Consider the following 13,921-nt stretch of genomic DNA (forward strand, 5'->3'; position numbering starts at 1 on the left):
CCCACAGTCCACCTTGCATCTACAGACCCCTTTAGTGACCTCTATATGTACCTCTTCCCTTAGAACCCTATAAAACCTTGTCCCCAGATGGAGCTGGCTTTCCAGATAGAAACTATCTCAGCACTGGGATATTTCTGAATTGCTAAAAGAGTCTGTCCACTGAAATAACTTGCTGATCCCCTAGGGAAGCCATTACAGAACCTTATGACAACTATATGTTAATCAGTTTATCCATGTTTTTGCCTGAAGATGCTATTTGTTCATTTTAATTGCTTTGTAGAATTCCACAGTGGAGCTATACTATACTTTTAAATCCCTTCTTCTGATGGTAGATAATTGAGTAGTTGCCAATTTTGGCATGTAATAAATATTGCTTTTATGTTAATGAATTTTTATTTCATATACATAAAATTGTTGTATAGTCAGGTTTAGAAGATAATGCCAAAGAGTTATGTAAAGTAGATTACCAAGTTACTCTCCTACAGGCAGTATACAAGAGTTCCTGTTGCTCAGGGTCCTCACCAACAATTAGTACTGTGAGACTTTATATATATATATATGTGTGTGTGTGTATATATATATATATATTTTTTTTTTTTTTTTTTTTTTGGTATTTTTAGTAGAGATGGGGTTTCACCATATTAGCGAAGATAGTCTCGATCTTTGCCTCGTGATCCGCCTGCCTCGGCCTCCCAAAGTGCTGGGAATACAGGCGTGAGCCACTGCACCCGGCCAGAGACTTTACATTTTTGTTAACCCGCTGATTGTGTTTTTTTCTTTTTTTTTTTTCATTTCTCTCATGACTAATGAGATGAAGCGCTTTTCATATGTTTTTGGACCATTAGGATTTACTCTTACCTGAAGTGTGTACTCAAGTGTTTTGTCCGTTTTTCTAATTGATTGTAATGAGTTCTTCACGTAATTTTAAATACTAGTCTTTCGCAAACATTTTGTCCCATTCTGTTGCTTGTCTTTTTATTCTTTATGGTGCCATTTAATTATTATTATTATAATTTTTTGAGACGGGAGTGTCATGCTGTTGCCCAGGCTGGAATGCAGTGGCGCGACCTCGGCTCACTGCAACCTCCACCTCCCAGGTTCAAGCGATTTTCCTGCCTCAGCCTCCTGAGTAGCTGGGACTACAGGCACACACCACCATGTCCGGCTAATTTTTGTATTTTTTAGTAGAGATGAGGTTTCACTGTATTGGCTTGGCTGGTCTCGAACTGCTGATAATTATTTTTAAAAAATATATTTATAATGAAATTTTACACCTCAGAAAATGATTTGTTCTTTCATTTTAAGAGACTAGGGTAATGATTATTTGGAGGAAAGGCATTAGAAAAGATTACATGTTCCATGGCATATTTTTCTGTAGTGCTTGGATTTTTATAATGATTATGTATTCCTTCATTCAACAAATATTTACTGAGCACCTAATATATGCCAAGAAAGGCTTTAGGTCCTAGAGATCCATTACTGAACAAAAGAGGCAGAGACTCCTGGCCTAATGGAATTTACACAGGAGGACTCCATATAGCTTTTATTTAGAAAAAATGCTATAAAAGACTTTGGTTTCTATCAAACTTTCATTTTGCACTTTTAAATATCTATATATAAAACCAACATGGCACAGAACTCAGAGTAAATACTTGAAAAGATAAGCAAAAGCTTTTTGTCCAGGGTTGCTATTGATTTTTCCCTTATTTCAGCAGCAAATTTTCCAGAAAGCACACTAAAATGTCAGACCCCAGGCCTCTCAAACATATAAATAATACAAAACCATATAAAATATTTATTTTAAAACACCTTAGTGTAATGAGCCACCTTAAATCAATGATGCAAGTAGTTTAAATGTGAGTCAGATTCTGGGCTGGCTTTGTCTATAGTAATTATATTTAAATTTCATTTTGAGTCAGTAATACATACACAAGGAAAAATAAATAGATGAGCATGTACGATATATGGAATAAATATATCTTGCTTTCATCCAGGATCTACCTCCTCCAACCCACTCGCCATCTACTGCCGCAGCCACAGTTAGCAGCTTCTTGTGTGTTCTTCAGAAGGTATTGAATTATGCACAAACACATAGGGATTATGTACGTGGTTCTATGTTTTAACTGTTCTGTACTGCTAGGTTAATTTTGTGAGTGGAGGCTACAGATTTGGGGGATAGGAGGCTCTGATAACAAAATGATAAGCTCAGAACTGAGCCAGGTGAAGCTGAAAGGGGGTCCCTGAAAAAGCCTCTGTACTCCCAGGCTGGCTCCCTTGCTGGTGCAAGCAGCCTGAGAATTGCTGGGATGCCGCATGAAGGTGGCAATGCCCTCCAGTGGATCCCAGGCTACACCCCTCCCACCTCAGCCCAGGCTTCACAGTGAACATTGATGTAGCTGGCTTCACTTCACCCCTTCTCCCCCAAATATAAAATGACTGCTGATGTCGTGCCACGTCCACTTCCTTCTCATTTCTGGGCACTTCCCTCTCCTCACCACCCACCATTCTGCCTGGGGGATGTCACTGCCCTTCTGTGCTCAACCCCTTCGTTTGCCTGTCCTACATTCAGCATAGCTTTCCTGAGTGCAAACTTGAAGCAATTTCTTGTCTTCTGTTAGTTAGTTTCTGCCCTACCCACACCTTTGGTCTCCTATGCTTCAGGCTTCTTCACAGGCACAAGCCAGTGCTCTGAGAAAGGTGTCTAGGTCTACAACGTTATGAGCCTTGGGGGATCAAGTTAATATTTACAGTGCATATTTTACAAATATCCCTCACCTCTGTACTAAAAAAGTCTCTCCAAAATTTGATTGCCAGTTTTAACAAATAAAAATACGGGATGCTTAGTTCAATTTCAATTTCAGATAAACAATGAGTGATTTTTTTTTAGCGTATATCCGATGTAATCATCTTTCATCTATATTTAATCTGCCAGTTCTATTTCCAAACCAGTTGAGCAGTTAAATTAAACAATCCTTCTAATCTGCATGTCTTTGGCCTGAAAAACAAAGTTCTAATCCTCCTTTCAATGACTGTGGCCCATACACAGCAAAATGTCCCACCAATTTCAAAACTGGGCATTTTGAGTAGCCTTGGGTCAGTGCAGGAGGCATTTCAAAGCGGTTGCTAGGTGGCAGACCTCATCTCTGGAAAGCATTTTTCACATTCTATTAGTACTGCTGGGTGAGACGAGCTTGGTAGTCAGCCCAAATGTGTATGATTTAGAGAGCTTCACTTTGTTACCATTTTTTCTTCCAATTTAAAATCTATAGCAAAACCAGGTTCAAATAGCACATCTAAAAAGCTTTGTCTTTTGAGCCAAATGCCAGAATGTCTAGGTAAACACAGAACTAAGTAATCACAGGCTTCATTTATTTCAGCTATTATTCTCTGCTGGACTTTTGAGGTAGATAAGACTAGATTTCTTCCAAACAGATCTGGGCAGGAGAAAACTTGAAAGTACCGGCCAGTCTTAAGTATCCTCATGTGATTCCTGATATAAATTTACCTGGAAACTGGAGTGGACACAACAGATTTGTTTTTTAAATCTTGAGTTCTTTTGCAAACATTAAACTGGTTGTACAAAAGGAATAGTGTAACACACCTTTGTTCAAATTACTTAACAAACTTCATGAAACAAGAGCTGTGATTCTACATGCTGTCTTGTTAATCCACAGAAGGAGCAGGATCCCGGAAAGGACACAAAAGAGAGAAATAATCATCAAAAGAATAGTAATAGTGATAATAGCACCTCAACCCAATTTCCCCAGAAAGTACCAGAACCCTGCTTAGAGCATGTTGATGCACGATGATTTCACCATTAAGACAGCATTAAGAGCAGACTCTAAATTAAACATAACGAAATTAAATAACACCTGCATCTTTGTTCAATAAAGTATTCTCTTTTACTATCTTACATCTTCCAGGCATTCAGGGATGGGAACAAAGCAAAGAATTACAGAAATGAAGAGCTGGAAGGAATTTTACAGTTTTTCCATTGGTGCTCAGATTTTGCGAATAAATAATTTAAATGTCTGTTAATAGGAAACTTGCTAATGAATTATGTAATATTAGGTGAAACCATATGAAATTCCTGATATTTGATTGCTTTTGACTCATAAAAATGGCAATTTTATTTGATCTACCTAATGCTCTACAGCTATTAAAAATATATGGTAGTTCTATAAGTACCGGCATTAAATGAATTGTATTTAAGGTAATTTGTAAGGAACAGAGGAGTGTTATAGGGTGCCAGTGTGTAGTATGTGTAGGGATATATATGTTTACTAATGTCTACCATACATCTGAAAATTTATAAAATACAACAAACTGTTAACAGTGGACGCCTCTAGCGGGCCAACTTGGAAACTAGAGACAAGAGTGACAGAGATTTTTTTTACTTTTGTGCAGTCCCAATTTTTACTACATGCATGTATTAAATATTTTACAGCAAACACAAAACAAAAAACAAAGCAACAAGGAAATCACTGTTTAGAGAGGTAAAGCGTCCGTACAAGGCATACAGTGAGCTCATACTAGAACACGTTGAACAAAGTGGCTGCTCAATTGCTTATCTCATTCCTACAATTCAAAGAACAAAAGCTAACAGCTCTTGGTGGCTGCCAGTTGTGGGAGCCACTCTTCACTCTGACCTCATGGTTTACCTGGGATCTTAATTACTCTAGTTAAACGGGGACCTTCCCCTTCAAAACATGGTGTCACTGGAGGTTCAATGCATCACGTTTGAATCATTCTCACTGCTGTTGTGGGTGAACAGATTGGATGCTGCAGGCAAGGGCTGGGAGCAAGAAAGAAGCCCTTCTCCACTTGGTGAAGTCTTCTTGCCATTTCCCTTCCATCTGGCCATGCAGAGTCCTCGGAGTCACTTTCAACAAGTCCTAACCCTTTTCTCATTATGATCTTTATTCTTTAACATGGAGTTAAAAATAACAAAATTTTATTCTAATTATTTGCTGTTCAAGAGGGGGGAAATAAATTAGAATTCAGTTTTTTGTGCACTTATCTGGCCAGGTCTCCCCTACTCTTTGTCCCCATCTCCATTTCCACGTCCTACTTTCCTCCAACCATTAGACCGGCCACATCCAAATTATTCTAATCTATACCAGTGCTTCCCAAACTGTGCTAGCGAGGAGGAACAACTTCATGTTGCAGCTGAAGAAACTGTGGTCTTAGAGATTAAATGACTTGTCTTCATTCCCACAGTTCAAAAGTGGTAAACACAAACTCAAACCCAGCTTCCTAATGTCTAGCCAAGTGTCCTCAGTCTTGAAACTAAAACTGTTTATTTCTCCCTTATCCTCCATCTACTGCCCTATTTTTCTCCTTCGTTTTACTGTCACAATTCCCACAGTTGCAGTTAAGTTCCTAGACTGTTTTCTACTTGCCTTCTCCATAAGCCCAGCCAGTTGGGTTCAGTGCCCACCAAGACTGAAGGTACCAGTTGCAAGGGCACTAAGTGAGCAGCATCTTTAGCATTCAATGCTATCTAAGGTTAGTCTTTCCCGATATACCATGGTAAGGATTATGTGCCTATTTTCTTCACCACTGTACCTATTGGTAGCCTAGGGCCAGGTACCAACCAGGAGCTGCTGATCTGACTTTCCTTTTGGAAACTTCCTTTCTCAGGCTTTTGTGGCTTTCTTCCCACTTGCATGACATCCCTTCCTCCACCTCTTTTTCTTTATAACTTTGGGCATTTTCACCAATTGATCAACCTGTCCATTACTGAAGCAATACTGGAGATAAAGAACCAGCCTGACGTTGGGGTGTTTATATATTATTTGTGAAAAATATAAATGCATAATGGAATCACAAACCATGTAACAATATAGTGTAATAATTATGAGCCAGGATGCATGGCTTCTTAACCTCTCTGTGCTATACTTAATTTTCTTGTGTATAAATGGATTACAGTAGTAGTTCCTACCTCATAAGGTTGTTGTGAGGATTAAATTATATAATACAGTTGAAGCACTTCAAAGAGGGTCTGTATACTGTAAGTGCTCACAAAATGTTAACATGTAAGATAATATATAAATCATTAATAAGTGTCGTAGAAAGTCTCCTTTTCAGAACTCTTTTCCCAAAGAGATCTAGTCAATTTTCAAAACCTCCTTTTCAAGTATCCTCTCCAGAATTTTCTTTGTCATTTTGACTTACCACTCCATTGTCTCAGGAATCATGGGGATTCCTGTTCAGAACATTGAAGATTTGAGAAAGGGAGAATAGGAGCCTCAAATAACAGCCAGCATCAACCAGCTGTGAGGCATGTGAGGGGGCTTTGTCCTCCCGACCCAGACAACCCCACAGCTGGCTGCCTGCTGCCACACTAGAAAACCTAGGTGAGACCTACTGAAGAACTGCCAGGCCAGCCCACAAAATGGTGAAAAAATAACAAATAATAGAAGTTGCTATTTTACGTCACTAAGTGTTGGGGTGGTTTGTTTCACAGCAAAACATACCTAAATATCACCATTAATCCAGCTGTGCAGAGTAGACATGACAACATTTTGGTGAATACTCAAAATCTAGGCATTACATATATACACAAATACGTTTTATATATTTACAAACAGTTTTACATATAGCTATTTGCAGTTTGTAAAACTCAAAGTAGGATATTTTGCATAGTGTGTATTAAAACAGTTTTCTAAAAAAACTTTAATTACATATTTTGAATTTTTGTATAATTATAATTTTGCATAATTATTTTTGGTGGTTGCATTGCACATCATGGTTTGTTAGCCAGTCCCTTGCTGACACTTAGCCTGTTGCTAACTTTTGGCCACCATAACAAAAGGTTTGGTTAAGAATCATCTAATTGCTCTCCAGAAAGAGGTACCAATTTACATTCTTACCATGAATGATTCAGAATTCTCTTTTGCCTGTGCTTTTACCAACAGTGGGTATTGCCTTTTTAAAAGACAATCTTGGCTGGGCACCCTGGCTCATGCCTGTAATCCCAGCACTTCGGGAGGCTGAGGCGGGTGGATCATGAGGTCAGGAGTTCAAGACCAGCCTGGCCAAGATGGTGAAACCCCGTCTCTACTAAAAATATAAAAATTAGCCGAGTATGGTGGTGGGCGCCTGTAATCCCAGCTACTTGGGAGGCTGAGGCAGAGAATTGCTTGTACCCAGGAGGTGGAGGTTGCAGTGAGCCAGGATCACGCCACTGCACTCCAGCCTGGGGAACAGAGTAAGTCTCCATCTAAAAAAAAAAAAAAAAAAGACAATCTTTGCTTATCTAATAAATGAAAAACTATCTCACTAATTCTTAAATTTTGTTTTTATTATTGAGATTGAGTATATTTTGATGTATAGTGGACATTCATGTCTTCTCCAAAATGCTTATTCTTACTCTGTTCATTTTACAACTTTCGTTATCTTATTCTTATTGATTGTATGATACAGCCACTTAACACTTTGTCATATATATTTATATATTTCAATATATAATATATATATTTAATATACAACATATAAATATTTAAATATATATGACAAAGTGTTAAATGGCTATATCATACACAAACCTATTTATATTTATATTTTATATATATTTAAATATTTTTCTCTAATTTCCTTCTAAGAGAAGATTTCCCTCAAAATGTATGGGTTTATGTGGCTTTTCTTAATGCACAAAGGTTAAAATGTTTAAATTGTCAAATCTGTCAATGTTTTGTTTTTTATTTCTGACACTGGTGTCATCATATTCATTTTTTAGAAGATGGCAAAGTTTAAATCTCTTCAAGGAGTATGTATTAGTCCATTTTCACACTGCTATAAAGATACTACCTGAGACTAGGTAATTTGTAAAGGAAAGAGGCTCAATTGACTCACAGTTCCATATGGCTGGGGAAGCATCGGGAAACTTACGCTCATGGCAGAAAGTGAAGAGGAGGCAAGAACCTTCTTCACATGGTGGCAAGAGAGAGAAGTGCAAGCAGGGGAAATGCTAGACGCTTATAAAACCATCAGATCTCATGAGAACTCACTCACTATCATGAGAACAGCATGGAGGAAACTGCCCCCATGACCCAATCACCTCCCTCCATGAACACATGGGGATTACAATTTGAGATGAGATTTGGATGGGGACACAGAGCCAAACTGCCAAATCATATCAGAGTAGTTAGTTGTCATTCAGGTAAAATCTCAATCCCTCAGTCTCTGTTGCATACCACATTCTATTCTCACCATATTCAGCCAAATTAACATCCCACAACTTCTAAAAGCAAACTGTGTTTTGGTGAGCTTAGTTTCTTGTATGTTTTGATGCATGGGCTCTGGAGTATTGTAAAGAAAAAGTTTAGGATTCTGACTCAACCAATTATCAACAGTATGAGAAGAGCTTTTTGGGCTTCAGCTTCATATTTAAGTGGGCTCAGAACTAATGTGAGATTAAGTTATGTGTAACAAACAACAAAGCTTAAAATACAGTTGGCACTTAATGAATATCAGTTCTCCAGCCATCCCTCCATGTTTTTGCTTATCCTGGGAAATCTTTCTGTGACATCATTGTCCGCTTCTCCACCTTGCAATACTTTATCTACCCTTCTGGGCCAGTTTTATCCAGACTCCTTCACAAAGGTTTCCATAGAACAGAGAGCTTACTATGCATCTTACACAGTTTGGGTGTCTTTTATTTTAATGTTTCAGTCATGTTTCATGAGCCAAACTGTAAGGTTCAGGAATGTTTGTCTTAATGCTTGGCACTTGAATGCACCCAATAAATAGTTGTTGAATGTATAAATAAACAAAAGGTACACGGGATGGGAAATACTGGAAAATTGGACATATATTGTAATAAGACTAGCTAACAATTTGCATTTAAAAATTAGCCAAATTATTGTGCTTGGGACACAAAATTTGTGACCAATGTGAATTTGTTTAGTAAATGTAGCCATATATATCTTGCGTTGTACCATTGAATATTCTAATAGTTCAATATACCATTGGAATATACCAGCGGAAAATATCATTACAAATAGTTTGACATACTGTATTTCTTCAATTTTAAGAATAATTTGGTACCACATTTTAATTTCTTTGAAACTGGGATGTGTCTTACTATCAAATAAACATCCAGTGGCCAGGTGATAGTGATGATATAGTTGGCATTGCCTATTTTTGAACATGGGCATAAATGAATTGTTATCATTTCTACTAAATTCTATGAAATTTAGTCCTGTTGTGTCAAAGCCATATGCCAAGAAACATAGTTGAAGGCAGGAGAAATTACCAGATATGACAGATTAGGTGAAAGAAATTCTAAAGCAAAGAGAGGTTGATATAACCAATTCATGTATCATGCAGGACTATGGTTAAGGCATGAAACTACCATTTGTGAGAAACTTTCTCCTGGCCATTAATAGAGAAGCTGCATAGCTTGTAGTGACATACAATTCAGTTGAACAAGAAAACTATGTGTTTAGTCAAATGGGATAGTGCCAGCATCACAACTGCAGAATGAGTGTCATTGTCTAGGAGGCAAATCCCAGAAACAAGATTGGAACATCCTTTTAAGAAATGGTGCACTATCAACAATATTGTGTGGAAAAACACACATGAATGCTTTTCATGAAAAGGTATTCAGAAGAATCAGGCTCAATGTTCGGGACTTTGGTAAATTCATTTTGCTTATATTTTCCTTTCCTACATACACACAGTACTAAGCAAATCTATGTATAAGTGTCTAAAAGCACTAAGTATAAAGTAAAAATTCGATATGACATAACATATTGTCATAGTTTTATTAGCAGCTCTTTTCCTTTCTTTTGAGTGGAACATATAATTGAAGATAGGTTAGATTTGAATAGATAACAATAAATTGAATAGGCACTAGGTCTGTGAGTTTGTAAACTTCCCTCAGTGAAGGACCAGAGCTTGGTGTTTTGTTGTTGTTTTGGTAGGTATTTTGTTGTCTGTTGGAAATGAGGTAAGAAGATCCTATGAAGTCGTCACAAATATTGGTTATACTTGTTTGTAGAAGCAACATAATTTCAAGAAAAGCCACCTTCTCACATCACCTTTTACAGCTTCTTAACATAGGTCACAGGTTGCATTTTGAATTAGGTGAATACTCCATTTGTCAGTCGGTAACCACTTCTGAAATTAATTTATTATATTTCCCCAATATAACAGCAATACATGTTGGTATAGAAAACACCTTATATTAAAAAAAAAGTCTATGTACCTACATGTGAGTATGTAATCAGCCATGTCTTCCACCCAATGTGGAAAATTTCTTTCTTAAAAATTTTCTTAGGCCAGGAGCGGTGGCTCACACCTGCAATTCCCAGCACTTTGGGAGGCCAAGGTGGGTGGATCACCTGAAATTGGGAGTTCGAGACCACCCTGACCAACATGGAGAAACCCTGTCTCTACTAAAAATACAAAATTAGCCGCGCGTGGTGGTACATGCCTGTAATCCCAGCTACTCGGGAGGCTGAGGCAGGAGAATTGCTTGAACCCTGAAGGCGGAGGTTGCGGTGAGCCGAGATCGCATCATTGGACTCCAGCCTGGGCAACAAGAGCAAAACTCCGTCTAAAAAAAAAAAAGTTTCTTATACATTTTTCGATGCCGTTTCTTTTTTTCTTTGTTTATGAAAATGTCTCAGATCAAAGTAATATATCTTCATTGTCCAGGATATTTCGTTAAGTATAGAAAAATATAAAGCAGCATGAAACATACTATCCTTCATCTCACCACCCAGAGATCACATCTTAATATTTTTGGCCATTGCATTCAATCTAGGGCAAAAACAGGCAGCATAACTTGCACACAGTGGATGCTCACTGCATCCCTGCTGAATGCATGAATGCAGAAAGAGAACTTGGAGAAGGGCCCATTTGTCTTGCTAATAGAATCAATTATACAGCTCTTATGGTCTAAAATTATTTGTCTTCTCAAGTTTGCCTCATTATTGTCACACAGCAGGAGCCTGGCCAAGACACAGCCATCTTTCTACTATTTGACAACCAAGCACTTTGGAAGGAATGGTCACTGTTTTCACTTCATTCCTGTCATTCATTCTCTCACTCATTAAATAAATATTAAGTGCCCACCATGTGCCGGAAATACGGAGAAGAAAAAAAAACATGACCCCTGCCCTCATGCAAATTACTGTGTAAAGACAAAAGACAATAAACATAAACACATAAATATATATATATACAAAATTTTATAAGTGCAAAAATAGAAGAGAACAAGTGGCTGGGAAAATAAACGGGGCAATGGTATAATTAAGGAGGGGACAGGGAAGGCCTTTCTGACGCAGTGACAAGTCGGGTCAAGAAGGAACGAAAGGGAAGGTTATGAGGCTGTCAAACTTTGAGTGTGGCCAAAAAAATAATGAAGAAAGTGATGGAGGAAAGACTAGGCTGAAGAAGTAGGGCAGTAGTGAAGTGTCTTGTAAGCCATGCTAAGGATTTTGAGTTTTATTCTATGTACTGTTGGAAACCAATACTTTTTTTGTAGTGTAAATTGAGCTTATTTTTCACAGATAGGTTTCAAGATGCAAAGCATACAAGGACCAAAAATAATTATATGAAAACTCTCCCTCCCTCCGGTTTCCTAGCCACCCAGTTTCCCTCTTCAGAGCTGCCAGTCTTTCCTACGGAAAGACTCTAGGCACAAACAAGCCCATCTATCTGTTTATATTATAATGCATTTTCAGCACTGGGACGAGCCCATCTGATTTAAGACCACCTGAATGCTGAGAGGGCATGACTCTGCGTTAGAACTCTGCGCTACTGCCCACGCATCTCACAAAGTCTACTACGCCGCGCGTTCTCGGTTTCAACGCACCTCCAGGATTCAGGGCTTCCTAAGCTGCAATTCAGCAGGGCTCCCTTGCTTGTTCTCACTCTGTGCCCCCGGCAACGACCCCGCGCGCCTACACTCCCGTGCCGCCTCAGCTACTAGTCCGCAACTTCTAGCCCCAAAACGCTGGAGCTCAGAACCCAGCTCAGGTGCGCTCGTCGGTTTCCCAGGGAGACTGGGGCTGATTGTAGGCACGCGGGGGCGGGAAGACAGCTTCTTGCTTCTGGCTGCGATGGAGGCGGATCTGGGCGGGGCCGAAACGGGGGCGGGGCCAAGTGTGGGGGCGTAGTCAGGCGTGGGGGCGGGCCGGCGCCGGCGCCGCGGTCGGCGGCAGCGCTCTCCTAAGCTCTCGCGGCTGCGCTTCGGTCCCGGACCCGGGCCACCCACGGGGTAGTGGGTGCTCCTCGGCCCCGGACATTGCAAGCCCCAGAAGGTAAATTTGCGTGGGAGCCGCGCACCTGGAGCGCGAGGGTACCCATGATGAGGGCGGGAGGCTGGATGGCGACAGAAGGGAGCGTCCCGCGGCGAGTTTCCCAAGAAAGCTGAACTCGTCCCAAGTTTCTTGTGCCTCGGCTTGCACTCAGTGAATGGGTGGCGGGCTCATTTGCTGCGGGTGGTCTTTTGGCGCGGGAGGGACGCGGAGGTGATTGGATTAATCCGCCTGGGCGGCAGCCCAGATTTCTGCCGGGAACCGCGCACCGCAGTGGTGCAGTTTTTGCCCGAGAAAGGGCGGGTAAGTGCGGTGCAGTCGTGTCCTGCGCAGCAGCAGGGGGACCGCCGGTCTGGGAGCACGCGAGTCGGCCAGGCGTCCCCGGTTGTCCAGAGGCACAGTTTCCTAACTTCTTTCCTCTTTAGGCAAGACTAACTCGGTGTTGCTCCTCCCGGCGCTGACTTCGAGGCCCGGCTATGGACGGCGAGAGCGAGGTGGATTTTTCTAGCAACAGCATAACCCCTTTGTGGCGGAGGCGGTCGATTCCTCAGCCCCACCAGGTTCTGGGCCGGAGCAAGCCGAGGCCCCAGTCCTACCAGAGCCCCAACGGGTTACTAATTACGGATTTCCCGGTGGAGGACGGAGGGACGCTCCTCGCAGCGCAGATTCCCGCCCAGGTGCCCACCGCCTCGGACAGCAGGACGGTACATAGGAGCCCCCTGCTTCTGGGCGCCCAGCGGAGAGCGGTGGCCAATGGTGGGACGGCATCCCCGGAGTACAGGGCTGCCTCTCCTCGACTTCGACGGCCCAAGTCACCCAAGCTCCCCAAAGCGGTGCCTGGCGGCTCCCCGAAATCCCCAGCAAATGGCGCGGTGACCTTGCCTGCGCCGCCGCCGCCGCCGGTTCTGCGCCCCCCGCGGACTCCTAACGCGCCCGCCCCCTGCACCCCCGAGGAGGACCTTACTGGGTTGACTGCCAGCCCGGTGCCTTCGCCCACTGCAAATGGCCTTGCCGCTAATAACGACTCTCCTGGGTCAGGTTCGCAGTCCGGCCGGAAGGCAAAGGACCCCGAACGGGGGCTCTTTCCTGGGCCCCAGAAAAGTTCTTCGGAACAAAAACTCCCCCTCCAAAGGCTGCCCTCCCAGGAGAACGAGCTCCTCGAGAATCCTTCCGTGGTTTTGAGTACAAACAGCCCCGCCGCCCTCAAAGTGGGGAAGCAGCAGATCATTCCGAAGAGTCTGGCCTCGGAAATTAAAATAAGTAAATCCAACAATCAAAATGTGGAGCCCCACAAGAGACTCCTCAAGGTGCGCAGCATGGTGGAGGGCCTAGGAGGACCCCTGGGTCACGCAGGGGAGGAGAGTGAGGTCGATAACGACGTGGATAGCCCAGGGTCTCTGCGGAGAGGCTTGCGGTCCACGTCTTATCGCAGGGCAGTGGTCAGTGGCTTTGATTTTGACAGTCCTACCAGCTCGAAGAAGAAGAACAGAATGTCCCAGCCTGTTCTGAAAGTGGTGATGGAAGACAAGGAGAAGTTTTCCAGTCTGGGAAGGATAAAGGTAAAAGTGGGCAGGAGTGTGGCACGCCATTCACTAAGCGGAAAGTAAATGTGTTGGGAGTGGGGAGGAGGAGCGTAGAGGAAACCCGAA

General features: G+C 41.7%; 1 protein-coding gene and 1 long non-coding RNA gene across 6 annotated transcripts in view; one reads left to right on the forward strand and one right to left on the reverse strand.

Moving 5' to 3' along the window:
* ARHGEF26-AS1 (ARHGEF26 antisense RNA 1) overlaps positions 1-11,966 on the reverse strand; it is a 96,810-nt gene extending 84,844 nt beyond the window's left edge. The window contains exon 1 of the long non-coding RNA NR_037901.1: positions 11,828-11,966. This is a non-coding gene — a long non-coding RNA (ARHGEF26 antisense RNA 1). The remainder of the gene's footprint in view (positions 1-11,827) is intronic.
* Positions 11,759-13,921, forward strand: part of ARHGEF26 (Rho guanine nucleotide exchange factor 26) — a 136,823-nt gene continuing 134,660 nt past the window's right edge. For 4 of the 5 annotated variants that reach the window (NM_015595.4, NM_001251963.2, XM_011512672.2 and 1 more), the window contains exons 1-2: positions 12,146-12,275; positions 12,698-13,831. In NM_015595.4, coding sequence (NP_056410.3) covers positions 12,749-13,831 — 1,083 coding nt within the window. In that variant the 5' untranslated portion in view covers positions 12,146-12,275; positions 12,698-12,748. Of the gene's footprint in view, positions 11,992-12,145; positions 12,276-12,697; positions 13,832-13,921 lie in introns of those variants that run through there. The other variant, NM_001251962.2, reaches the window with a different exon arrangement.

This window comes from Homo sapiens, chromosome 3 (assembly GCF_000001405.40).
Source record: "Homo sapiens chromosome 3, GRCh38.p14 Primary Assembly".
In the NCBI taxonomy this organism is placed as follows: Eukaryota; Metazoa; Chordata; class Mammalia; order Primates; family Hominidae; genus Homo; species Homo sapiens.